Source organism: Homo sapiens, chromosome 14 (assembly GCF_000001405.40).
Source record: "Homo sapiens chromosome 14, GRCh38.p14 Primary Assembly".
NCBI lineage: Eukaryota > Metazoa > Chordata > Mammalia > Primates > Hominidae > Homo > Homo sapiens.
In genome coordinates, this window is record NC_000014.9 from 59,977,179 (window position 1) to 60,003,808 (window position 26,630).

General features: G+C 35.3%; 1 protein-coding gene and 1 long non-coding RNA gene across 20 annotated transcripts in view, besides 1 other annotated feature; one reads left to right on the top strand and one right to left on the bottom strand.

Moving 5' to 3' along the window:
• The window catches only part of LRRC9 (leucine rich repeat containing 9), a 147,105-nt gene that overhangs the window by 57,466 nt on the left and 63,009 nt on the right, over nucleotides 1-26,630 (top strand). For 14 of the 19 annotated variants that reach the window (NR_075071.3, XR_002957549.2, XR_002957550.2 and 11 more), the window contains 8 exons: nucleotides 47-169; nucleotides 839-954; nucleotides 4,670-4,882; nucleotides 7,927-8,046; nucleotides 20,478-20,669; nucleotides 21,923-22,048; nucleotides 24,788-24,922; nucleotides 26,443-26,620. Coding sequence is in view for 16 of the 19 variants with exons in the window: in NM_001355272.3 (NP_001342201.1) it covers nucleotides 47-169; nucleotides 839-954; nucleotides 4,670-4,882; nucleotides 7,927-8,046; nucleotides 20,478-20,669; nucleotides 21,923-22,048; nucleotides 24,788-24,922; nucleotides 26,443-26,620 (1,203 nt within the window). In the remaining 3 variants the exon portion in view is untranslated. Of the gene's footprint in view, nucleotides 1-46; nucleotides 170-838; nucleotides 955-4,669; nucleotides 4,883-7,926; nucleotides 8,047-20,477; nucleotides 20,670-21,922; nucleotides 22,183-23,620; nucleotides 24,923-26,442; nucleotides 26,621-26,630 lie in introns of those variants that run through there. The other 5 variants (XM_024449574.2, XM_024449571.2, XM_024449572.2 and 2 more) reach the window with 5 other exon arrangements.
• PCNX4-DT (PCNX4 divergent transcript) overlaps nucleotides 1-26,630 on the bottom strand; it is a 122,654-nt gene that overhangs the window by 8,086 nt on the left and 87,938 nt on the right. The gene's annotated exons all lie outside the window — the stretch shown is intronic.
• Nucleotides 15,180-15,411: a silencer, noted in NCBI's record as "fragment chr14:60459076-60459307 (GRCh37/hg19 assembly coordinates)". NCBI's record gives its function as "represses an EF-1alpha promoter that drives an FKBP-Casp9 reporter gene in an ReSE screen in K562 erythroleukemia cells {active_cell/tissue: K562}" and the evidence as "EXISTENCE:reporter gene assay evidence [ECO:0000049][PMID:32094911]".

Sequence of the window (26,630 nt, forward strand, 5' to 3'; positions counted from 1 at the left end):
TAAAGTTAATTATTCTTAAGAATTACTTCTGTTTTTTTATATTTAGGCATCCTCCTCATTACAAAAGTTTTCCTTGGCCAGAGTGTTCAGGCCCATGAAAAAGAATCCATCAGTCAATCCAACTATCCAATGGTTAATTCAGTGTTCATTCCTCGGAAATATTTACTAAGTATGTCTATCATAAAGATTAATGTGGTTTTATCTCTCTGAATGAAAAATGTTTGTGTTTAATACGGATACTCACAATTTTATTTCTACTTAACAAAGTTTGTAGAATTTTCTACAAAAATCTGTTACTAGCCACTAATAATTTTTATATTCCCTACATCAAAGACATTTATATATGGGTGTGGGTAGATAATCTGGCAAATTTTAATGTAATTATGTATTTGTGTGTGTGTGTGTGTGTGTGTGTGTGTGTGTGTTCATTTTCAAAGAATTAAAAAAGCACCCGACTTTTAACAAGAGTTTTAGAGAAATACGTTTGTCAAAATTGCATGGCCACACATTGAATAGAAAAGTGAAAAAGTATGAAAAGGAAAAGGATATGAATAAAATTAAGCACTACTAGTCTATGTAGTGAAAGGATTTATATAATTAAAAAGTATTTATATAATTAAAAAGCTGGAGTGGAAAGGATGAAAGAAAAAATCCTCAATAATATAACTGTCGCAACTTACTGAGTTTGTTATTTATTTAAAAATGAAAGAAAAAATCTTCAATAATATAACTGTTGCAACTTATTGAGTTTGTTAATTATTAAACTATGTAAGAATGAAAAAGTATGTTTCAATTTGAGAAAATGTGTTTGCTTTGCTTGTTTTTGCTTTTACTCTAGATTCTGTCATGGGACAAAGAAACTGTGATTGCAGTGTTCGGCAGTGCAAGTGGTTTGTCTTTGATCATGACCTTGTTTTGCCGGAATATGTTGTTGAATTTGAGTATATTACAATGGTATGAATTGTTACATATTCTTAAAGACTAATTCTAATTCCTTAAATGGGAACAAAGTAGTAATTTGAAGTCGAATAATGCTATGTCAAGTTTATATTATGTGCATGTGTGTATAATTGTTATTTTGTGAATAACTTAATTTTCAAAACAAGTCAACTAATATTTTTTAGGCAAATAATCAAATGATTAATATATGGCTGTACTCCCACTGGAAAAGATTCAGTCTACTTTGAAGATTCAAAATACATTGAAACTACATTGAAGAATAAACATGAAAATGTGCCCTCACTTTAACCTCACTGCCATTCTCTTTCACCAGGGAATCCACTGTTAACAGTTTTATGGGTTTGCTTTCAATCCTTTTTCTACACATTTACATATATAATAACAGATACCATTTGACATAGTAGAAACAAGGTCTAAGTATTCTGTGATTTTTTTGCCTTTAACAATATGTTTTGAACATATTTTCACTTTAGTACATATAGATGGGTATTTCATTATTTTGGTGGCTGCATATTATTCAGTAATACTAATTTATTCAACTATTCTCCTGTTGATATACTGTGTCCATATTTATTATTTAAAATAATATTTCAGTGAACATCATTGTAGATGTATCTTTATACAAATATGGAAGTTTCTCTACAGGATAGATTTGTAGAAAACTTGGGAGTCAAAGGATATATGCATCTTAAATTTTGTTAGATTTTGCCAAATTCTCTCCACAAAGACTTGACTGTTTTACAAATTTCCAAGTGTGTGTGACAGTGCATGTCTCATTACATTTGCCAACACAAGATGTTATCAGTCTCTTTTGGCCACTATGGTGGGCAAAAAACATTATATTTTATTCTTTCATATGCTTAAAATTATTTAGAGTTGTACGAACCAAATGTTATATCTTTTGACCATTTTCTATTAAACTCTGTCTTTCTTGTATTAATTGGGAAAATCCTTACATACATTCTGGATTTTAGTACTTTATCTTAGCCCAGGCATGGTGGCTCATGCCTGCAATCCCAGGAGTTCAAGGTGAGAGGATTGCTTGAGCCCAGGAGTTTGAGACCAGCCTGGGCAACATAGTGAGATCTTGTCTCTACAAAAAACTTTAAAAATTTAAAAAATTAAAAATCATTTATCTTATATATGTTGCAAATATTTTCTGTCACTTGCCTTTTAATTTTAATTGTAAGAAAAACTCGGCCAGGTGCGGTGGCTCACGCCTGTAATCCCAGCACTTTGGGAGGCCAAGGCAGGCGGATCATGAGGTCAGGGGATCGAGACCATCCTGGCTAACCATCCCCGTCTCTACTAAAAATACAAAACATTAGCCGGCCGTGGTGGCGGGCGCCTGTAGTCCCAGCTACTCGGGAGGCTGAGGCAGGAGAATGGCGTGAACCCGGGAGGCAGAGCTTGTAGTGAGTAGAGATCGCGCCACGGCATTCCAGCCTGGGCGACAGAGCGAGACTCCGTCTCAAAAAAAAATAAAGAAAGAAAAGAAAAACTCATCATTTTGTTCATGTCCTTTGTAGGGACATGGATGAAATTGGAAATCATCATTCTCAGTAAACTATCGCAAGGACAAAAAACCAAACACCGCATGTTCTCACTCATAGGTGGGAATTGAACAATGAGAACACATGGACACAGGCAGGGGAACATCACACTCTGGGGACTGTTGTGGGGTGGGGGGAGGGGGAAGGGATAGCATTAGGAGATATACCTAATGCTAAATGACGAGTTAATGGGTGCAGCACACCAGCATGGCACATGTATACATATGTAACTAACCTGCACATTGTGCACATGTACCCTAATACTTAAAGTATAATAATAATAAAATTAAAAAAAAGAAAAACTCATCATTTTAATTTGTAATTCACAAGTTAATTTTTAAGAGGTCAGCTCTCTCTCTCAATCTTATCCTGTATGGATTCTGAATTTTATGTCTTATGTCAAAAAGCCTGTAATAAATATTCTTTATTTTCTTACAATACTTATATAACTTGTTTTAAAGCCTTTAGCTTTTTTAATCCATCTAGAAATTGTTTTATGGTGTGTGAGGTAGAAAGGTGGTCAATTTTTTTAAATGAATAAATACTTAGGCATTATCTTTTCTGCTCTATTTCAAAATACAACCTTTATTGTTAAAATTATTTGCATATATGAGGAATCTGTCTATATGAATCTATTCTGTTCCATTGAACTCTTTCATCTAATTTTGGATCACTATCATATTTGTTTTGGTTATTACAAACTTCATATATCTTGATGTGTGATAGGGCAAATCCCCTTCCTCTGTCCCCACTCATCTTTTTAAACTTTTTTTGACTATTCTTAAACAGTATCTTTTTCCAAATAAAATTTAGAATAGCTTGTCAAGCTCTATTTTAATATCCTATTAAAATATGATTGAAATTATATTGAATTTAAAACTTAATTTGGTGTGAACTGACTACTTTGCTGTATTGGACTTCTTGTTCTAGGAACATGATAATCTGTCTACTCCATTTACTCAGGTCCTCTCTTACAGTTTTCTTTATATAGGTCTCCAACATTTCTTGTTTAGTTCTGGACATTTATATTTTATATTGCTATAATGAATGGGATTATATTAGTCAAGTATGCCTTTAGCAAAAGATACAGAAACCCAGACAAACAGTAAACAGATAGAAGTTCATTTAACTCACATAACAACTCAAGAGATGGGCAATACCTGGCAGTTGTGACCATTCAATGATGTCAGCAAAGACCTTGGTTCCATCATCCTCCTGCTTGCCGCTTTATGAGCTCTTTTGATGTGATGATTCAATTCTTTCTTCTCTTCTGGAAAGTTTGCTTCTCTTAGTTTCTTGGTTATTTCTTCTCTTCCATTCTCTATTAGGCCCTCTGGAATACCCTGATTAGTTAAATATCGGGTGTTCCAAATTGATCCTTCATGCCTTTTAATTTTTTCTCTTCTATTTTATACTCTATTTTTAAATTATTTGTTTTGAAATATTTTCTCAATCTTAGCTTCCACATTGCTAATTTGATCTGCTACCATATCCACTTGGTTCTCAGGGTATTTACTAAATTTTTATTTTAATAATTGTTTTTATTTTAGCTTTGAAGTGTGTGTCCTTTTCTTTTCCATAGCAGCTTATTCTTTTATCATAGGTACTTTATTGTCCTAGATTTTTAAAAATTCTCTGATGAAGTATTCTGGTTTTTTCTAGAGCCAGTTCTGTTTGTTCATGTGGCTCTTGCTCATTCATCCACAATTCTTACCGTAATTACTGAATTACCTGATAATTAAGGTAACTAATTGCTCTTTGTTCAAGTTTCTCTGGATCTGATTTTAAAAGTGTTTATCTCCTGCATATTTTTTAGCCAGAGGTTACATTTCTGATCCTATTTACCTGTCAGTTCAGTCCTTTCTGATTCATGTGTCACAATTTCTAGGCTTTTGTAGGTACCCTCTTCACTGTTATGAAATATTTTAAAATTATCTTCTGCCAGTTTTAAGAAATGTTCAGTGGGTGGGAATAGATACACCATGCATAGCCTACAATTTTAATCTGCTCTCATAGATGTCCTAATGTGATTCTGATAATCACAGATATGACTGTATAACTAAAAATGTCAACTCATCTTTTCTACATAGCTTGTTTGTTTTTCAAAATGATAAATACAGCAACTGATTTTGCAATGTTTTTAATACATTTTTTAGGTCAAGGCACCCTCTTTATTTTCTGTATTCAACAATGTTATTCTAGAAGAAAGCAAAAAAAACCCAGAAGTATCAGTATTTTCCAAGGATTTGAAATTTGATGATGAAGTTATAAAAATGGAGCCCAGAATCAAGGCCCGACCAAAACTGATTAGTTTGGATGATAAAACAATACTTTCCCTTGCAAAGACTAGCGTTTACAGTCATATTGTGGTGAGTATTGTGAGAAATACAGCTTTGAGACAGGAATCTTGAATTTGGAATCAGAATCTAGCATATGAAGTCAAAAGATACTAAACTGCCTGTCTGATGATGCCAGGTACAATGCTACCTAAAGCGTCCATTTCTCTTTTTCTACTTGGATTAAATCAGTGCTCTCTAGTAGTAATATAATGTGAACCACATATGTAATTTTTACTTCTCTAGTAGCTATGTTTTTAAAAGCTTTTTTAAAAAGTAAAATTAATTTTAATAATACATTTTATTTAACTGAAATATCTTAGTTTGTTTTCTATTTCTATAACAAAATACCACAGACTGAGTAATTTATGAAGAGAATACGTTTATTTAGCTCATCGTTCTGGAGGCTGGGACATCCAAGAGCATGGTGCCTGCATCTGGTGAGGGCCTTGCAGTGTCATAAAATGGCAGTGGGCATCACATGGCAAGAAGGCAAGAGCAAGAGAGCCAGAGAGAGCTGATTTTATAACAAATTTACTCCCAAGATAATAGACCCACTCCTCTGAAAGTGACATTAATCCATTCATGAAGGCAGAGGGAGTAAGTTTCCAACACATGAACTTTTGGGGGACACATTGAAACTATAGCACCTGCATATCTAAACTATTATCATGTTAACATGGAACCAGTATGAATATTCATTAATAAGGTAATTTCATCCTAACTCTTAATTCTGAAGTATATTTTACACTCTGAGCACATTAAGACTAGTCACATTTCAAGTGCTCAATAGCCATTTGAGGTGGCCTTCCAATTAGCAAGGGATTTTATTCCTGAATAACCAATCAGCTCTCTTCAATAAGATAAAGGCAGATAAGTTTTAAATAAGCTTCTAGAATTAATCAACATAGAATATGGGATCTTTACAAAATTAATCAATGGAAATCAGGTTACTTATTAAAGTGACTTACTTTATGCCGAGACAATTCTACTGAGATATTAGGCCTACTTCTATGTCTGACTTTTAGATGTGTTCATTTCAGATCTGCTGCTACCACTCTATCCAAACTACTATAGTTTCTGACCTAGACTATTACCCCAGCCTTCCAACCAGACTCTCTGTACTCTACTATTGCAATATTGCACAACTCTAGAAGGCAAAATTCACATTATATTCTCTTTAGTGTGCCCTTTGGGTGTTATTCATTATATAACTGAATAGAACTCAATACAAGATAAGGGGAGTAGGATGCCTCTAGAGTTATGCAACAGAGGCCCTGTCCTGTGTCTGTAAATGTGCAGCATAATAAGAGCAATCTTCTGGCTGACAGTACTGAGAAATTATTATTTCTGCACTATAATATCTAGATTTACTATTTTAGTAAGAAATTAGTTTACCTGAGTCAAAAACATCAATTTAGTGGAGCAAATATATATGTGAACACATGTAGGAAGCTCAGAGTTACTGGGAGAGATTTATAGAAAGAGGTGAGCTTTGAGTGGATTTTGAAGGACATGAGAAATTTAGTTGTTTACATCTTCCAGAGAGAGAAAATATTCTTACTGTAGAAACATGCTTTTGAAAGATCCAGATGTCTTCAGGGAACACTGAAAAATTTAGTATGCCTAGAATATAGTGTTACAATGGTGGAGGGTAAAGATGTAGGTTGGAATTCAAGAAAGACACAGGAAGCCAGGGCTGGAAGAGTATGAGGTTGTAGCCAAATTAGGATGGATTTTGGAAGCCAAAATTTAAAAGTTTATATTCTTCTGTTTAAGGAACAGACTCCCTTTAAAGACCCTAACTTTGACAGCTTGTGCATGGAATTAACTGAAATCAGACTGGTGGTATGGAAATTCAGTAGAAAACTATTGCACTATCCAAAGGAAAAATCCATTCATTTCTTCACTGGATAACCAGAAAACCAGCTGCACCGTTACATCACCACTACCACTGCCTAAGTCTGCTAAGGCACTGATAGTGGTGATATAACGGTGTGGCCTGTTTGAGAAACAGTTCTACAATCAAATGTATAAAGAAAAGAGGGAAAGCAGGTGATCAACAGTATGTTAGATAGTGAAGCTCTTTATCAGACACATAGGGAAGATGAAATCAGTTGTGGACATGTTAAATGTGAGGTTTCTGTAGAATATATCATGGATGATACCCATATGTGACTTGTAAAATCACTAGTCTGCATAAATTGGCCCTTAACAATTTTAGCTAATTTTGACAGCTATTAGAAATTTAATTGTTTCTCCCTTCTAGGAATTTTGTTATGTCCACAATATAAGGCATAAGATGGTGGTGGTGAATGAAGATAGCTGGGAGATAGATACTTGATACTGTAGTCAGTTGCATTAATACATTGTCTTGTGCCCTTGTTTATTTTGCAAGCTATACATAAATACAGTCTTTACTTGATACCACTCATAATGGTATAAAGACAGAAAAACATATAGGCATCAGGATCTCTCCTTTAGTATAAATGTGTAATAATATTTGTTTTTATATAGCCTAGAATGAAATGGACAAGAAAAGTCTGGGCCAAATTCTGATGTAGGTGTTGTCTTAAACAATCTCCCACCTCCTCCTTTGACCTTCTGTCCTCCTACTTCAGCACCCTCAGCTTTTCTTCTTTGGTTCGGTGCCCTCATACATTTTCCTGCCATCTCTCTTGTGTGAGGTACCCTACCTGATACCCCAAATCTTTAGGGTCTCCATTGTTCACTGGTTAGCCTTAGAAACAGATCTACCCTAATAAGTATCTTAACACATGTATTTATTTTCTAAAAAGAATTTCACGCCAATTGCTGACAAACTTAGACCAAGTAAGAAATCATATTAATCAAGAACCAGGTCTAGTGATACTATTACAAATTATTTATCTTTTAACATCATAGATTAGATTTTTTTTCTTATTGACTGTTTCTTAATGCTATTTAAAATAACTGCTTTCTTATTTTGTAGTATATTGGCTCAAATAATTGTTCTAAACATTTTACATATCCACACTTCAGTTTGATGTAGAATGTAACCTGTATTATTTTTTAATGTATATTTTATTTTGCTTCAGAGTCTGAATCTACATGGAAACAGCTTGAGTAAATTGAGAGATCTCTCCAAGTTAACAGGACTTCGAAAACTAAACATTAGCTTTAATGAATTTACCTGTTTAGATGATGTATACCACTTGGTAAGAATTGTTCCTTTGAATCTAAAAAAGTGAAACTCATAGAAGCAGAAGTAGAATGGTGGTTATCAGGGCCTAAGGGCTAGGGGAAATGGGGAGATATTGGTCAAAGGGTATAAACTTTCAGTTATAAATTAGACAAGTTCTAGGTATCTGATGCACAGCAAGTGTGGTGATGGATGTGTTAATTTGATTGTGGTAATCATTACACAATTATATCAAATCATTACATTGTACACCTTGAACATATTCAAATTTATTCTGCCAATTTAATATTTTTTAAAAACTGTGCTGACTCTGGGCACACTGCCCAGGAGTTAGGCCTGCTCTCAAAGGAACAGCTATAAAATAAAAAGAAAAAACTTTGGTGCAGAAAAAAGATCATGAAGTCAGAGGACAAATGATAAATTGGAATAAGCATTTGAAAAAAGAGCTGTCCTTTTGAAAACATTAATGTAAAATAAAATAATTAATGGATAAATTATTTTTGTAATTACGGCTTCATATCTACCATTTACAAGATTATACAGCCTAAATCAGCCTAAATACATATACTGTATTATGTTACTTTCTCTAAAACAGGTCTTAGGTTGAACTTTTGTTAGCAGACCAAATCCGTACCAGTGGTCATATCTCATTTCTATCTACTTTAAAATGAATATATTAAAATAACTTCTCAAATTTGCTTTTAAAATGTACTTTGGTGTAATTTCCATTTTTTTCTACTCTTGTTTTCCCACTCTTCTTTCTTTCTTTCTCATGAATCCCTATTTCTTTTTCATTTTGTAGTTTACCACTTCACATCTTAAGATGGTCAGTTCCTCCCATCTGCTCATCCAGGTTATTATTTCTTTCTTTCTGTCTTGTCCTTTGACCTGAATATCACATGCATAGATCTTGTTGAATTTGTGTTTGCCTTCTTGTATATCATAGGACAATACAGGAATGCACATGTACACATAGGCATGGATATTGTCTGGCTTTTATTTTGTTATACATCATATAACAAAAATAATTACATATGTGGTTCCAGAACTGCAACCCAGCATCTCCTGTTTACATGGGTTCCAGGTCACTCACTTATCTCTTCAGAATATATCATCATTTTCAGCTCTTATTCATTCTTTATTCCAGCTCCTTGCTACTATATCAAAGCCTTTACATTATTTCTTCTACCATTGTAATGGGAGCTGTTTCTTTTACTTATTGGCATTAGGTTTAGATTTAGTGTTAAACTCACTTCCTTTTTCTTTTGGTAGGCCCAAGCCCTTTTAAGTAAGTAGAATCCCTGAGAGTCTGGATTCAGTATGCAACTGAGGGAAAAAGGTATTTTAGAAGAGGTCTCAGGACTGTATGTAGATTGTTGGTATTTTTATTTTTTTCTATTTATTTGCCAGCACTTCCAAAATTACGACAGTCATTATAATTTTGCTTAGGCACAGATTTAAAGAGTAAACTCATTCAAGACACTTAGATAGAGAGTGAGCTTAGCCAGCTGCCCAGCATTTATTTTGCCATGTGGTGGTGGTGTTCAACTTTAATACAAAAATTATTTTCATTATCATAGCCTCACAGTCTACTTGTTAAATGACTATAACCTTAGTCATTTTACAGATAAGGGAACTGGGTAAGTTTTATGCCAAAGTGGTATTTTCAAATTTTAGGATGAGTAAAGGTGGCTAGCTATAGACCTTTCAAATGTCAAGTCTCTAAAAATGACTCTAAGGATATTAGAGGTGGCCAGAGAGAGGAGAAACTCTACATGGATGTCTATGTGTATTTTTTCATCTTTTTATTATAAAATAAAACACAGATACAGAGAATTACATGCTATATATATGGCTTAGTACATTGTTGTAAGGTGAAAATGCTTGTAATCAGCACCCAGATCAAGAAAGAAAATTTTGCCACCTAGGGCAAAAGCCTCTTCTATGTGCCCCATGCCTTCCTCTCTCCACAAGAAATCATTATCCTAACCTCTGCAGTAATCGTCTTCCTGGATTTTTTCCTGATAGTTCTGTCAACCAAATGTACATCCCTAGCACAATAGTTTGGTTTTGCCATTTTTAAAAAATGTAACTGCGTTTCTTTTGTTGCTTTTGGCAACCAGTTACATTATTTGTAACAACTTGTTGTCATTACAGAGGAAGTTTATATGCATTGTATAAAAACAGAAAATGTAGGCCAACAACAAAACATTCTCACCACCCAGAGATCAACCTTAACTTCTTTGTACTCTGTCTTTTAAATCTCTTTTAATTGATAGATTTCCCTTCCATTTCCCATAGTTTATCTCTAGAAATACTTGAGCCATTCGACCCAAAGAGTTTCCAGCAGCCTGGGATTTGCTTACTTAAGATACATCGCTATATGCCTCCCATCTTCTATATTTCCTGCAAATTGGCAAGTGGATCCACAGATAGGATCAGACCCAGGTTCCATTTTTCTGGCAAAACTAATGTTTGACAAGACTGTAGGAGACACGTGATATCTTATTGTCTCACTTGTGTGATGCCAAAAGCCATTATTACTTAATGCAGTTGGGGATTACAAAATGGTGATATTCTTATTCTATCATTATTTCATTTATTATTTGGAATACTTTTACAAAGAGACATTTCTCATTATCTATTATTTTATTTCCCAGTGGTAGCATTCACATAGAAAGTACAGAATAGATGCTTATCCACCAGTTTTCAAGATAATGAATTTGTTCCCTATCATTTCCCAAAGTGAGCAACTCTTGTTTTAATAACAGTATGAATGCAGGGACTTAACAATATTTGATTATATTCAATCCATTGTAATTTTTATCATGGTTGAAGCTCAGATTGTCTCATCTTTAACCAGTGGGAGCTTTTCAAAGTTAACTTCTTTTGCCTTGACCCTAATGGCCTTTGATAGCTTATTTGACATTGGTATAAAAAGATGTTCCATACACATCTTATATATTTTCTGTTGCAGACACAGTATCAGCCATGTCTTCAAGAAACCTTAGTTTCTTTTAGAGAGAAGTGGTCCTTCAGAAACACAATCCAGTTGGTCATAATTTCTAGGTATTAGAAATTATGACTGACTGGAAACTGGACTGAACTTGTTGGAAGGGATATGAATATATGTGTGCATGTGTGTTGCATGCGTGCACGCATGCGTGTGTATAAATAACCTTATGAATTTTTTATACTTCCAATTCAGGTTCAAGACCACAAAGCTTTCAACTTCTTCTCTATTACTTACATATATATACTTTTCTCATACCAAGAATCCTGATTCTTAAGGATACAAGATGATAGAATATTTAATAATTACTCATTGTTTTATCTACTGTTGTACACGCAACAGTGTCATAATGACAGTACTTATACTATTATCAATATCATTTACTGGAAAGATTTTCTAAAAATTTTGTGTATGTTCTTCCCATTCTTCCCCATTTTAAAAAATAATTAAAATAATTATACTATAACTATATTGTCACCGCATGTAGCCTTATGCTCTGTACACTCTCCCTTTTAATTCATTGGTAATTGTATATTTACTTCTCATCACCAGTCTTTATTTTGGTATCTTTCTAAACATTTTGATTGTCTGAAATATATCCTATTATAGATCATAGGAATAATATCCCTTCAGTTACTGAATGTTAATAACAGTTTAGCTATGTCCTTTATACTTGAAAGGTGGTTTTGCAAGATATAAAATCTTTGGCTCACAATTTATTTTTCTGGGGCATCTTAAATGTTACTTCATTTTCTTCTATCACAAAGTATTGTTGTAGAAAGTCTGATGAGAATGTATGATTTTTTTACCCTTTATAAGTCACAAGCTTTTCTTCCTTCTAGATGGCCAAATAACTTTTTTAGTTTTCTTTAAAGTCTAATAAGTTTACTAGCATTTGTCTTGGTGTTGGTTGTTCTGGGTTGTTTTTTTCAGATTCACAGTATGATCTTCCAATATGTAGTTTAAAATCTTTTTTTCTTTCAGGAAAGATGTTTTAAATTTGAATTTTTTAATCAATTTTTCTGTTTCCTTGCTGTTGTCTTCTTCTTCAGGGACTCCCATTATCCATATGTGAAATCTTCTTTATCATCAGTATTTGTCACTTTCTCTTGAATCCTTTTTGTCTCTTCATTCATTTCTTATCTTAAATTTTTTTCACTTTTTCATCTTGTATTTCTCTTAAAAGTGTTATCTATTTTTTATTCACTCTTGGATATGACTAATTTAGTGTTTATTTCTTAAATTATTTTATTATTTCATTTCATTGTTTCTGGGTCCTTTCACTCCACGTTTTAAAACACTTTTTTCGTTTTTGTAATTCAGATTTATATTGTTATTTTATGTCTCATATCATTCTTAACATCTTTTAGTTTGTTTTAAAACGGTAGGTTAATAGTCATGATATGTTTCTTGAGCATATTTTTCTGGTGTACTTTTTTGCTACCAGTAATATTAACCTCTGTCTTCCCCCTCTCCACACTCCCACCATAGCTTTGTCTTGAATTTGACCTCAGTACTTTTCTCTGCTCATTTGTAAATGAAATTAGTTTTTCTTAACTTTTAAAATGAGGTAAGGTTCAGGAAAGTTTTTCTAACTTCACAGATCTTCCTCTTCTGTTGTTTATATGTACTGTTTAAAATTTGTAATGCTTACTCTGAGATTTTTTTGGCTCTATTCCAATCCTCCACTTTAGTCTAGACCTTCCTTTTTTTTTTTTTTTTTGAGACGGAATTTCACTTTTGTGGCCCAGGCTGAAGTGCAGTGGCGCAATCTCGGCTCACCGCAACATCCACCTCCTGGATTCAAGTAATTCTCCTGCCTTGGCCTCCCGACTAGATGGGATTACAGGTGCACACCACCACACCCAGCTAACTTTGTATTTTTAGCAGAGATGAGGTTTCTCCGTGTTGGTCAGGCTGGTCTTGAACTCCCGACTTCAGGTGATCTGCCCGCCTCGACCTCCCAAAGTGCTGGGATTACAGGCATGAGCCGCTGTGCCCAGCCTAGATCTTCTTTTTTATTCACCTCTCGTGTCCTTATCCTGTTTCATTTTGAGTTTAGCCCCAACAGTTTCTTCTATGAGAAGGATTCTGTCTTGAAGAGAGTCCTAGTGGAATAGTTTTTAGATTCACAGGGGCTCGACTGCTCCAGGGACTGCTTTCTTCAGACCTTTCTTTTTTCTTTTTCTTTTTTCATTTTTAGACAGGGTCTCACTCTGTCACCCAGGCTGGAATGCAATGGCATAATCATAGAGTACACTGCAGCCTCAACTTCCTGGGCTCAAGTGATCCCCTTGCCTCAGCCTCCTGGGTAGCTGGAACTACAGGTGCATGCCACCACACCCTGCTAATTAAAAAAAAAAACAATTTTGTAGAGATGGGGTTTCACTATGGTGCCTAGGCTGGTCTCAAACTCCTGGTCTCAGGCAGTTCTCCTGCCTCAGCCTCCCAAAGTGCTGGGATTACAGGAGCCACTGTACCAGGCCCCTTCAGACCTTTTTACTGTGGATCCCATGAACTCATCTGGTATTGAAGAGAACAAAACTCCTCCCTATTTCAATTGCTGTAAATTGGTCTCCACACATTCCGGTGAATATTTGTTGACTGTTCTGGGGCTCTCCTGTTTTCAGGTCCATCAGATGCTGCCCTGACACTTCCTTCTTCTCCCACATGAATACCATGCAGGTCTTGTGTTGATGGTGGTTTATCTCTACCAACTTCTTTTGGAGCCTATAGAGCAACCTTGTCATGTAGTTTTGTTGTAAACATTGTCCATGAAAATTTGGTTTTATCTATTTGCTCTGTTTTTATGTGTGGATTCACAGCATTTGAAAACTTCTGTTGCCTCTGCCTCTATATTCTCTAATACTTGGTTTTATATGCATGTGTACTATTATGTTTATTCCAGTATTGTAAAAAGTTATGATCTAATTGAATCACTCACTTATAATTCCTATCTTTTAAGTTTTTAAATTTGCTTTGGGATACTCATCTTTACTGTCATTTTCCTTAAGTGTGTACTAAAATGGACAATTTCTATGCCCTTCTTGCATGCTTCTCATATAAATGAGGTAAGTTGGTTCTACTAAGTTGTAGAAAGTAAATGTATCGGGGCAGAGCCAAGATGGCCACATAGGAATACCTCCAGTCTACAGCTCCCAGCATGAGCGATGCAGAAGATGGGTGATTTCTGCATTTTCAGCTGAGGTACTGGGTTCATCTCACTGGGGAGTGTCGGAAAGTGGGTGCAGAACAGTGGGTGCAGCACACCGAGCGTGAGCCGAAGCATGGTGAGGCATTGCCTCACCCAGGAAGTGCAAGGGGTCAGGGAATTCCCTTTCCTAGTCAAAGAAAGGGGTGACAGACGGCACCTGGAAAATCGAGTCACTCCCACCCTAATATTGCACTTTTCCAATGGTCTTGGCAAACAGCACACCAGGAGATTATATCCCGCGCATAGCTCGGAGGGTCCTACGCCCATGGAGCCTCACTCATTGCTAGCCAAGCAGTCTGAGATCAAACTGCAAGGCAGCAGCAAGGCTGGGGGAGGGGTGCCCGCCATTGCCCAGGCTTCAGTAGGTAAAGCAGCCCAGAAGCTCGAACTGCGTGGAGCCCACCACAGCTCAAGGAGGCCTGCCTGCCTCTGTAGACTCCACCTCTGGGGGCAGGGCATTGCCAAACAAAAGGCAGCAGAATCCTCTGCAGACGTAAATGTCCCTGTCTGACAGCTTTGAAGAGAGTAGTGGTTCTCCCAGCACGCAGCTGGAGATCTGAGAACAGACAGACTGCCTCCTCAAGTGGGTCCCTGACCCCCGAGGAGCCTAACTGGGAGGCACCCCCCAGTAAGGGCAGACTGACACCTCACATGGCCGGGTACTCCTCTGAGACAAAACTTCCAGAGGAATAATCAGGTAGCAACATTTGCTGTTCACCAATATCCACTGTTATGCAGCCTCCACTGCTGATACCCAGGCAAACAGGGTCTGGAGTGGACCTCCAGCAAATTCCAACAGACCTGCAGCTGAGGGTCCTGACTGTTAGAAGGAAAACTAACAAACAGAAAGGACATCCACACCAAAACCCCATCTGTACGTCACCATCATCAAAGACCAAAGGTAGATAAACCCACAAAGATGGGGAAAAAACAGAGCAGAAAAACTGGGAACTCTAAAAATCAGAGCGCCTCTTCTCGTCCAAAGGAACGCAGCTCCTCACCAGCGATGGAACAAAGCTGGACGGAGAATGACTTTGATGAGTTGAGAGAAGGCTTCAGACGATCAAACTACTCAGAGCTAAAGGAGGAAGTTCGAACCAATGGCAAAGAAGTTAAAAACCTTGAAAAAAAATTAGACGAATGGCTAACTAGAATAACCAATGCAGAGAAGTCCTTAAAGGACCTGATGGAGCTGAAAACCAAGGCACAAGAGCTACGTGACAAATACACAAGCTTAGTAGCCAATTCGATCAACTGGAAGAAAGGGTACCAGTGATGGAAAATCAAATGAATGAAATGAAGCGAGAAGAGAAGTTTAGAGAAAAAAGAATAAAAAGAAATGAACAAAGCCTCCAAGAAATATGGGACTATGTGAAAAGACCAAATTACGTCTGATTGGTGTACCCGAAAGTGACAGGGAGAATGGAACCAAGTTGGAAAACACTCTGCAGGATATTATCCAGAAGAACTTCCCCAATCTAGCAAGGTAGGCCAACATTCAAATTCAGGAAATACAGAGAACGCCACAAAGATACTCCTCAAGAAGAGCAACTCCAAGACACATAATTGTCAGATTCACCAAAGTTGAAATGAAGGAAAAAATGTTAAGGGCAGCCAGAGAGAAAGGTCGGGTTACCCACAAAGGGAAAGTCCATCAGACTAACAGCTGATCTCTCGGCAGAAACTCTACAAGCCAGAAGAGGACAGTGGGGACCAATATTCAACATTCTTAAAGAAAAGAATTTTCAACCCAGAATTTCATATCCAGCCAAACTAAGCTTCATAAGTGAAGGAGAAATAAAATACCTTACAGACAAGTAAATGCTGAGAGATTCTGTCACCACCAGGCCTGCCCTACAAGAGCTCCTGAAGGAAGCACTAAACATGGAAAGGAACAACCGGTACCAGCCACTGCAAAAACATAACAAAATTGTAAAGACCATCGAGGCTAGGAAGAAACTGCATCAACTAACGAGCAAAATAACCAGCTAACATCATAATGACAGGATCAAATTCACACATAACAATATTAAACTTAAATGTAAATGGGCTAAATGCTCCAATTAAAAGACACAGACTGGCAAATTGGATAAAGAATCAAGACCCATCAGTGTGCTGTATTCAGGAAACCCATCTCACGTGCAGAGACACACATAGGCTCAAAATAAAGGGAGGGAGGAAGATCTACCAAGCAAATGGAAAACAAAAAAAGGCAGGGGTTGCAATCCTAGTCTTTGATAAAACAGACTTTAAACCAGCAAAGATCAAAAGAGACAAAGAAGGCCATTACAGAATGGTAAAGGGATCAATTCAACAAGAAGAGCTAACTATCCTAAATATATATGCACCCAATGCAGGAGCACCCAGATTCATAAAGCAAGTCCTTAGTGACCTACAAAGAGACTTAGACTCCCACACAATAATAATGGGAGACTTTAACACCCCACTGTCAACATTAGACAGATCAACAAGACAGAAAGTTAACAAGGATATCCAGGAATTGAACTCAGCTCTGCACCAAGCGGACCTAATAGACATCTACAGAACTCTCCACCCCAAATCAACAGAATATACATTCTTCTCAGCACCACACTGCACTTATTCCACAATTGACCACATAGTTGGAAGTAAAGCACTCCTCAGCAAATGTAAAAGAACAGAAATTATAACAAACTGTCTCTCAGAACACAGTGCAATCAAACTAGAACTCAGGATTAAGAAACAAATTTACAAGAAAAAAAAACCCCATCAAAAAGCGGGCAAAGGATATGAACAGACACTTCTCAAAAGAAGACATTTATGCAACCAAAAGACACAGGAAAAAATGCTCATCATCACTGGCCATCAGAGAAATGCAAATCAAAACCACAATGAGATACCATCTCACACCAGTTAGAATGGCGATCATTAAAAAGTCAGGAAACAACAGGTGCTGGAGAGGATATGGAGAAATAGGAACACTTTTACACTGTTGGTGGGACTGTAAACTAGTTCAACCATTGTGGAAGTCAGTGTGGTGATTCCTCAGGGATCTAGAACTAGAAATACCATTTGACCCAGCCATCCCATTACTGGGTATATACCCAAAGGATTACAAATCATGCTGCTATAAAGACACATGCACACATATGTTTATTGCAGCACTATTCACAATAGCAAAGACTTGGAACCAACCCAAATGTCCAACAATCATAGACTGGATTAAGAAAATGTGGCAAATATACACCATGGAATACTATGTGGCCATAAAAAATGATGAGTTCATGTCCTTTGTAGGGACATGGATGAAGCTGGAAACCATCATTCTCAGCAAACTATCGCAAAGACAAAAAACCAAATACCTCATGTCCTCACTCACAAGTGGGAATTGAACAATGAAAACACATGGACACAGGAAGGGGAACATCACACACCGGGGCCTGTTGTGGGGTGGGGGGAAGGGGGAGGGATAGCATTTGGAGATATACCTAATGTTAAATGAGTTACTGGGTGCAGCACACCAACATGGCACATGTATACATATGTAACAAACCTGCACGTTGCGCACATGTACCCTAAAACTGAAAGTATAATAAAAAAAAAAGAAAATAAATGTATCGTTGTTACAGTGTTCATCATTCCTGGCCTTGCCTGTGTATCAGTGTACTTAAACTAAGGCTTTCTTTATGCAGTGGAAGGACTGGGATTCATAAGTCATAGAAAATAAATACATCATATAGTTGTATGGAATTTTTCAAAAATCTAAACAAGATATCCACATAAGGCAAATTGAAATGTAATAAGCTGCATGTCTGTCATTCACTATCAGGAAAAGAGAATATCTGGGAGAAGGAAATAGAGATGTTTTCTCTGAAAATAGCTCCACCATAATTAGTGTTGACTAGGGAAAGACAAAGATAAATGGCTATTTGCAACCTCGATCTAGATAACAATTACAATTCTAATTTTTTATTGAAATAATACTGAATATCTTATCTTTCTGAATGAGAAATCTGTTGTTAAGTTGTTCCTGATGTCTAGAGATAGCTAAGCTACATTTAGAGAATAAACCAGTATCCCAAGAAAATTTAAGAGGTGTTTTGAGTTTTAATCTTTGTAAGTTGTACTGTACTGTACTGTAACTTGAGAGATTTTTAAACTGAATCAAAAGAAATATTAAAACAAAATGCTATTGCAAAACTGAAATACTGTTTCATGACTATTTAATGAGTTCCTGGAATCTGTTTTATATCCTGAAGATAACAGAAATAAAGATTCCCCCCCTGTTTTCAAGGGGTGGAAGAAGACAGGTTTTTTTTTTGTTATATTTTATTTTATTTTGTTTTTGAGACGGAATGTTGCTCTATAGCCAGGCTGCAGTGCAGTGGCATGATCTTGGCTCACTGCAACCTCCGCCTCCCGGGTTCAAGCGATTCTTCTGCCTCAGCCTCCGGAGTATCTGGGACTACAGGTATGCGCCACGATGCCCAGCTAATTTTTGTATTTTTCGTAGAGATGGGGTTTCACCATGTTGGCCAGATGGTCTCAATTTCTTGACCTCGTGATCCACCCGCCTCAGCCTCCCAAAGTGCTGGGATTACAGGCGTGAGCCACCGGGCCCGGGCAGAAGACAGTTATATTTTTATGATGTGTGGTTCCCAAATGCTGGTCTACAGGCAGGTGCCACAATGTGGGACAAGTTTTCACCAGCTTATGATGAAAATTGGGAACAGAAGGGCCATATAGTAAATTCTTATAAAGCCTAATTCACTTTACTTAAAGGTGTTTTTTTTTTCTAAAGTTATGGCCTTAATAGTTTTTTACTGCCAAATATCCTTTCGTTCAAGAAATGATGATAGGAAGTGATAGTTTTTGTTTTGTTTTGCTAATGCTTGCTTCTGATAATAAAAAGTCAGTAACTCTGTTCATTTTCAGAAATTTTTTTAGGTTTTAATTCAACTCTTGAAACCTGAACCACTATAAGAAGTTCTATCCCAACAATAAGAATTATACCTTATAAAGGAATGACTAATTCCATTCTGGATTAAAAGAGTTGTTTGAATTAAGTTGTAGAGAAATCAAACATAACAAATTAAAGTCTTAGAGATTTTTTACAAACAAGTAAGATGAAGATATGAATAGATAAATAGCCAAAGACAAGAAAGGCAATAAACAAAAAAAGAATTTAAAAATGACCAGTATAAACACATAGAAAAATGTTCAACTTCACCAGTAATAATGTAAATTAAAATAAGGCAGGTGGATCAGTGAGTATTTGAGAAAATGGGTATTCTCATTGTCTACTGTTGGAAGAAAATGTTGGTACAAACTTCCTTGAAATCTACTTGGCAGTATTTATCGAGAGTCTTAACAATACAGAAAGTCTAAGAACCAGTGATCCTGTTTCCAAAAACCTGTTCTGAAAAATATTTTGGAGCTGCAATTAGAGAATAATTCTCACGGATGTTTGTTGCTGTGTTGCCAACAGTTAGAAACATAAAGATCTATAGTAAAATGTTTTTAAAAATTATGATCACATAGTCAAATATCATGCAGTCATAAAAAATCATCTTTAAGAAGATCTAATAATGTGAAAAAATGTTAAAAGGATACAAAATTATATATGTTTTACATAAGAAAAAATATGTGCATATAATAAAAAACAATGCTTTCAGTGGTTCTTTCTGAGCAATAGGATTATATATGTTTTCTATTTTTTCTTTTCATTTATTTGCTATATTTTCCAAATTTCCAACAAGGAACATGTGTTACTTTTATGATTTAAGAAAATTATTATTTAAAAGTATGCACTTTTTAAAAAGAAAATTATTAGTATTAAGTTAACAGGTTTAGTTTCTAACTCTGAAGATGAACCTTTTTAAAGCAGGCTATGGGGCTCAACAGTATAAACAAGAAGCCTATATATTAAAAAGTACATTTTGTTTGTTGGGGATAAATTATCTTGACAGTTTCTTTATGTCTTCTCTCCTATGAAAACAGACATTGCCACTCGGTGTTACAAGGGTAAAATATGAATTGAAAGAGAATTACTAAAACATAATACCTGTAGCTCTTTAGACAAATGCATATGTTGATACCATCATTGCAACATAACTACTGTTTATGTGTCCTGTGAGGATTACCAGGAAGTGTGTAAAGTATGTAAAGAACCACAGAGAAACTATTTTGTAAATACAAATTATGATTCTCTTAGCATCACTTTTATTTATATGTGTTGCAGTATAACCTTGAATATTTGGATGCAAGCCATAACCATGTGATAACCCTTGAGGGATTTAGAGGTCTGATGAAACTGAAGCACTTAGACTTGAGCTGGAATCAACTGAAAAAATCTGGCAATGAAATAAATATGTTATGCAAACACACCACAAGCCTTCTCACTCTTGATATTCAACATAATCCATGGCAAAAGGTATGCCACAGACATGTTACTAAAAAGCAAACATTTTTATTTTCAGAGCCATTTCCCTACTAACTTTACTATTTAGTAATAGCCAGAGATAGGCAAAGTATCTTCGTTTTTCTAGACTTCCTTCCTTGAAGTCATTCATAAATTGGATTTAATGTACTGATCAAATGAATCAGATGTTACTATAAGAAAAGACTATAATTTCAAAACAGATTTTTTGTAACCTCTAATAGATTGAGAACATTATTGCTTTTAGTCATTGATGTCATTGCCATTTGCAAACCTCCAGATATTTTATATAGTTCAGTGTGCCAGAACTCTATTTTAATGAGTCATAGGAACCAAGAATAATATAATACAGTGAGAGGGGCACACTATTAAGGAAGAAACATAATTTGATTTATAATATATCCTAATCTGTGGTTGAACAACATGTTTTACAATTTTATTTTGCATTTTGCATTATTCACTACTTGTTTTCTGTTTTAAGTCCAGAAATCATCTCCCCTCATAAACTTGCATTATAAAGTCTTATGTTCTCTTATAAAAAGGAAATCTGAACATTATTTTTTCTCATTACAAAAATATGTAGATTAATGCTAGGTAATTTCCATATTCCATGACTATATTTAAGTATATCTTCAAGTATTTAAAATAAGTCCCAAGATTATAAAGTCAAGAATCTTCCTTTCTCTGCCTTTAAAAGATGTATATCAGGCTGTGTTCAGCCTTTAAAAAGGAAACTAAGCACAGTAGGTTCTATTAAATTGACCATATTACTAAGTTTATATTATTGTATTTCTTCTTTTTTGCTCAGTAAAAGTGAAGAATATTTTTCTTTTGCCAAAGCATATTTCCTGGATGATCACAGTACAGCTATCTCTCTGTTGCCAAATTGGATTGTCAAGGGCTAAAGATCCATATTGAATCACACATGGAGATGACTAGCTTACTGCTGATCTAGATAAACAGGAGTCACTACAGTTGTTCTTTTAACACTTTTCACCGCAGTCACTTTTCAATAGCTTATGGGATTTCCCTTCCTCATCAGAGTAGAATCATCAACCTTCAAACAAACAGATTAATTATTCAACATAATTTCAACTATTATTTAAATAATTAAGCTTTTTTTAGGTATATGTAATGAACAAGGAAATGTATGATTTTGAATTATATGGAAAGACATGAAAACAGTCATTTTCATGCCATAACATATTTAACAGTTTATAAAAAATTTTTTTTTTGTTTTTCCCAAGCCAGCCACATTGAGGCTGAGTGTTATTGGCAGATTAAAGACTCTTACCCATTTAAATGGAGTCTTCATTTCTGAAGAAGAAGCAACAGCAGCTATGAAATTTATTGCAGGAACAAGGATTACTCAGGTTGGATTTTACTGTTTACTATTCATTGTGCTATTTAGAACATACAGATAATATTTTGCATACTCTTTTTCTGTCATTAAGATTTTATAGTCCCTCTTAGCCTATTAATAAAAAATTAATATAGAGCAATCATACCACTTGGTATTTTTTCTGTTTAAATGTATCTCATTTAAATACCAAATCGTTGTATGGATTCTCTTGACTATCCATGAACACTACACCAAAAATACCTCTAGGGTAACTGCTTTTTTACCAGTCACCTGAACTCACCAGAGCCCTTTCTAGAGCCTACATGAAAATAAGCAACTGTCTGAGGATAAGGTAAGCTTAGAGGCCTTCAGAAAGCATTAGTGAATTATCTATCTACTTAATATTAACATTATATTTGTTTGGCTGAAAGGAACAAAATCCATTAACATGGAAGGAGGGGAAATACCTTTGTTATCCATATTAAGAATGCTGTACTTTAGCCAAAGTAGCTTCAACATCCTAAATATATCTACTCTAGTTTTCTAGTTGTTTACTTTTTGTGGAGTATCTGAATATTAATTCCTTAGGCAATATAATGTTTAGTTTTGGATCTATTCAAAATTTTGAAAAGAAATTTTTTATTGATAAAAAATAATAATAACACTCCTAAAGAAGAGCTGGGAATTTACCCTAAGAAAAGAACTAAAAATAGAACTACCATTCCACTCAGCAATCCCATTTCTGGGGCTATAACCAAAAGAAAATTAATTGTTCTACTAAAAAGACACATGCATTAATATGTTCATTGCAGCACTATTCACAATAGCGAAATCACAGAATCAACCTAGGTGCCCATCAGTGGTGGACTGGATAAAGAAAACATGGTAAATATACACCATGGAATGCTACACAGCCATAAAAAAGAATGAAATCATGTACTTCACAGCAACATGGATGCAGCTGGAGACCATTATCCTAAGTGAATTAACACAGAAACATAAAACCGAATACCACAAGTTCTTACTTATAAGCGGGAGCTAAACATTGGGTACACATGGACATAAAGATGGGGACAATACACATTGGAGAATACGACAGGGAGGAGGGAGATGGGCAGAGCTGAAAAATTACCTATTAGGTACTATGCCCACTACCTGAATGATGGGTTCAATCCTACCCCAAACCTCAACATTACGAAATGTCTCCTTGTAACAAACCTGCACATGTACCCCCTGAATCTAAAATGAAATTAAGAAAATTAGTTTTTTAAAAAGAAATCAAATCCTGCTAAAATCCTTTAAGACAATGTGGTATTGGCACAGAGCTAGACAAATAGACCAATGGAACAGAATAACAACCTAATATAGACGGTGGAAACTTTATAAATAACAGAGCTGCCTTTGTAGATCAGGGAGATTATTCAATAAAAGGCATTAAGGAGTTTATTGTAAAAGGCAAAACCAAAAATTTTTTTGAAGAAAATATGAAAGATTATCATTATGACCTTGAATTTGTGAATAATTTAGTAGGCAAGAAACAAAGAGCATAAACCATAAATAATTGGACATGTCTACATTAAAATTAATATATCTTTTTTCAAAGAAAGTGAAAAGACAAGCTACATACTGGGAAAAGAAATTTGCGACACAACTGTCAAAAGATATTCTTTATATATCCAGAATATATAAGGAAAAAGACAACCAGCCGAACAGAAATATGTGCCGAAGATCTGAACATACACTTCACTGGAGAGGAAATCAGAACAGCCAATTAACTTAGGAAAAGATACTCCACCATATTAGCATTCAAGAAAATGAACATTAAAAACACAATGACCTACCAATTTTTGCCAGTTTTATAGATGAGCAAAAACTTTAAAGTCTGACAATACCAAGTTGTTGCAAGAATATGAAGTAAAAGTGTAATTTTTCTGAAGTGGTACAACCACTCTGGAAAACAATTTGACATTATTCAGTAAAGCTGATGTATATTTGTGTGTGTGTGTGTGTGTGTGTATTCTACAACCCAGCAATTTTACTTTACTTAGGTGCATATACTCTAAAGAAACTCTTGCATGTATGTACCAGGAAACATGCACAAGAATATTCATGATGACAGTGTTTATAATAGCAAAAACTGAATCAACCCCAATGTTCATTGACAGGAGAGTCATTAAGGGAATACTATACATAGGACATATGAATGAACTACAGCTACATAGAGAAGCTTAGATGAATCTGATGAATATGATATTGAACAAAAAAGGCAAGTCATAAAGAATACATACATATTCAATTTACATGAATTTCAAATATGTGCAAAACTAAATGATATATTGTTTATGGACACAGACATAGGACTATAAAGAAAGCAAGGAATGGTGGACAAAACATTTGAGATAATGATCACTTCTAAAGAAAAGGAAAGAAAAGGGCTTAGGATCGGGCCCACAGGGTGCTTGTAATCTATTCATAATATTCTAGCTCTTAAACTGGTTTCATGGGTGGATTCTATGTGTGTTCATATTATAGTAATCATTTTACAGTCTTATAAATATTATCTTGTAATGGTTCCACATTTGCTAAAACAAGAAACAATGTAATTAAAATGTATCTAGATATTGAAAACAATTTAAGGCAAAGGAAATGTTACATTTTATAATTATTTATTGGGCCACTCATCTTCCCTGGAAACAATAATTTTAACTATATATCAACTAACCTCTGTATACTGTTTCCTTTTTTCACTGTATTTTTTAAATTTTATTAGTTATCTCTCTTACGGCATTCTAGTACTAAAGAGGAGAGACCACGGATACTTAGTATATGGCCTTCTGCCAAAATTCTGACGCAGGTTTCAAAGTTAGGACCTCATTTACATCTGAGTGGAAACTGCTACTTGAAGGTAAAGGCTAATTCTATTAAACCTAATATAAAGCTTAATTTAAATCTATTTTTAAGTCAGTGTTGGTCTGTGTATCATAAAGAGGGCACAGATAGGTAAGGGACAGAAAGCTGGAAGAGATTAATTAAAATAGGGAAGAAACACTTAAGATCTACCCTCTTGGCAAATTTCAAGTATACAATACCGTATCGTTAACTTTAGTCATTAACTTTAGTCGTTAAAGTTATCGTTAACTTTGATGTTGTACATTAGGGTCTCTAGAAAGTATTCGTCTTGCATAACTGAAACCTTGTACCTCTTGACCAACATCTGCCCACTTCCCATTGCCCCTAGCCCCTGGCAACCACTATTCTACTCTCTCCTATGAGTTTGACTATTTTAGAGTTCATATATAATTGAGATTATACAGTTTTTAATTTACAATGTATGCTTATATCAAGTTATACATCTTTAATATATGCAATTTTAAATTGTCAATTACACTTCAACAGAGTTGGAAAAAATAAAAATAAGAAAGACATTGTTATTATTAGTAAAAAGTAATACATTTGTCATATTCCAAAAAATAAAAAACAGGGAGGTCAAGTCATGAATGGCTACGTCAGATGGGCTGGGCCTTGACTGCGTTCGCCACAGAATTGGAAATTTAAGATAAAGGTGCACTAAAACTTAAGGACAAATTTAAAGGGCCATTCTAATTCCGTATTCTGATAACATGTCAGAATAGGCAAGATTCTGATAACATGTCAGAATAGGAAAGCAAACTTTAAAGGCTCAGAGCCAGAGATCAAGCCAAAATTCAGACAGCAAGAGTCAGGTATCCTGACAAGGGAGTAGGGGAGCTGGTCAGAATTCAGCCAAGGATAAGGGAAAAGGTTATAGAACACTTGCAGCTTCTTGCTACATTAGGTGTCCTTATACCTCTTGCCAAACATAGAAACTGGGCTAAGTGAAGCTGCTCCCAGAAAATGGGAGACATTACTGGCATTACTTTTATTACAAGATATATATAGATATTGAGCTGCAAATGAAGGCCCAGTGACAGCTTTGGCTGACCCACAGGCAGTTCTGGAGTTAGTGGAGTTAGAATGGCCCTTTAAATTTGTCCTAAGTTGGGCTGAGATGGTCAGGCCTTTATAGGCTTCCATCACTGGCTGAGGGCCAACCTGGGAAGGAGAGTGACCTTGGCAGCTGTCTACAGCAAGGCAGTCCCTGCAGGGACTGACAGCTGAAGACTCTGCCAGAAGCACTCCCAGCAGCTGGGACAAGTCCATTACTGTAATGGGACTCTAGCACATCGCAGTGTCCTTAATACCATATAAGTCCTTCTTGGAGTTATAATCTCGTCAAATTTTACTTTTCTGTAAACTGACAGCTTCACAATATCTTTAGCTCCTGAAGGAATTCTTTTGATATCTATTTATCACATTTGAATTATTTCATTAGCTTTTTAAAATGTTATTAACATTGACTGAATTTATAAGATTTAGAAATAACATACAATGTAAATTATTCTACAGATAACTGCCTTAAATTTAGATGGACAACATCTTTTTGAAATCACAAATTTAGAAAAATTGGAAAATTTGAAATGGGCATCATTCAGCAATAATAATCTCACTAAAATGGAGGGTCTGGAATCCTGTATTAACTTGGAAGAGCTCACATTAGATGGAAACTGCATCTCAAAGATAGAAGGTAAGGTACT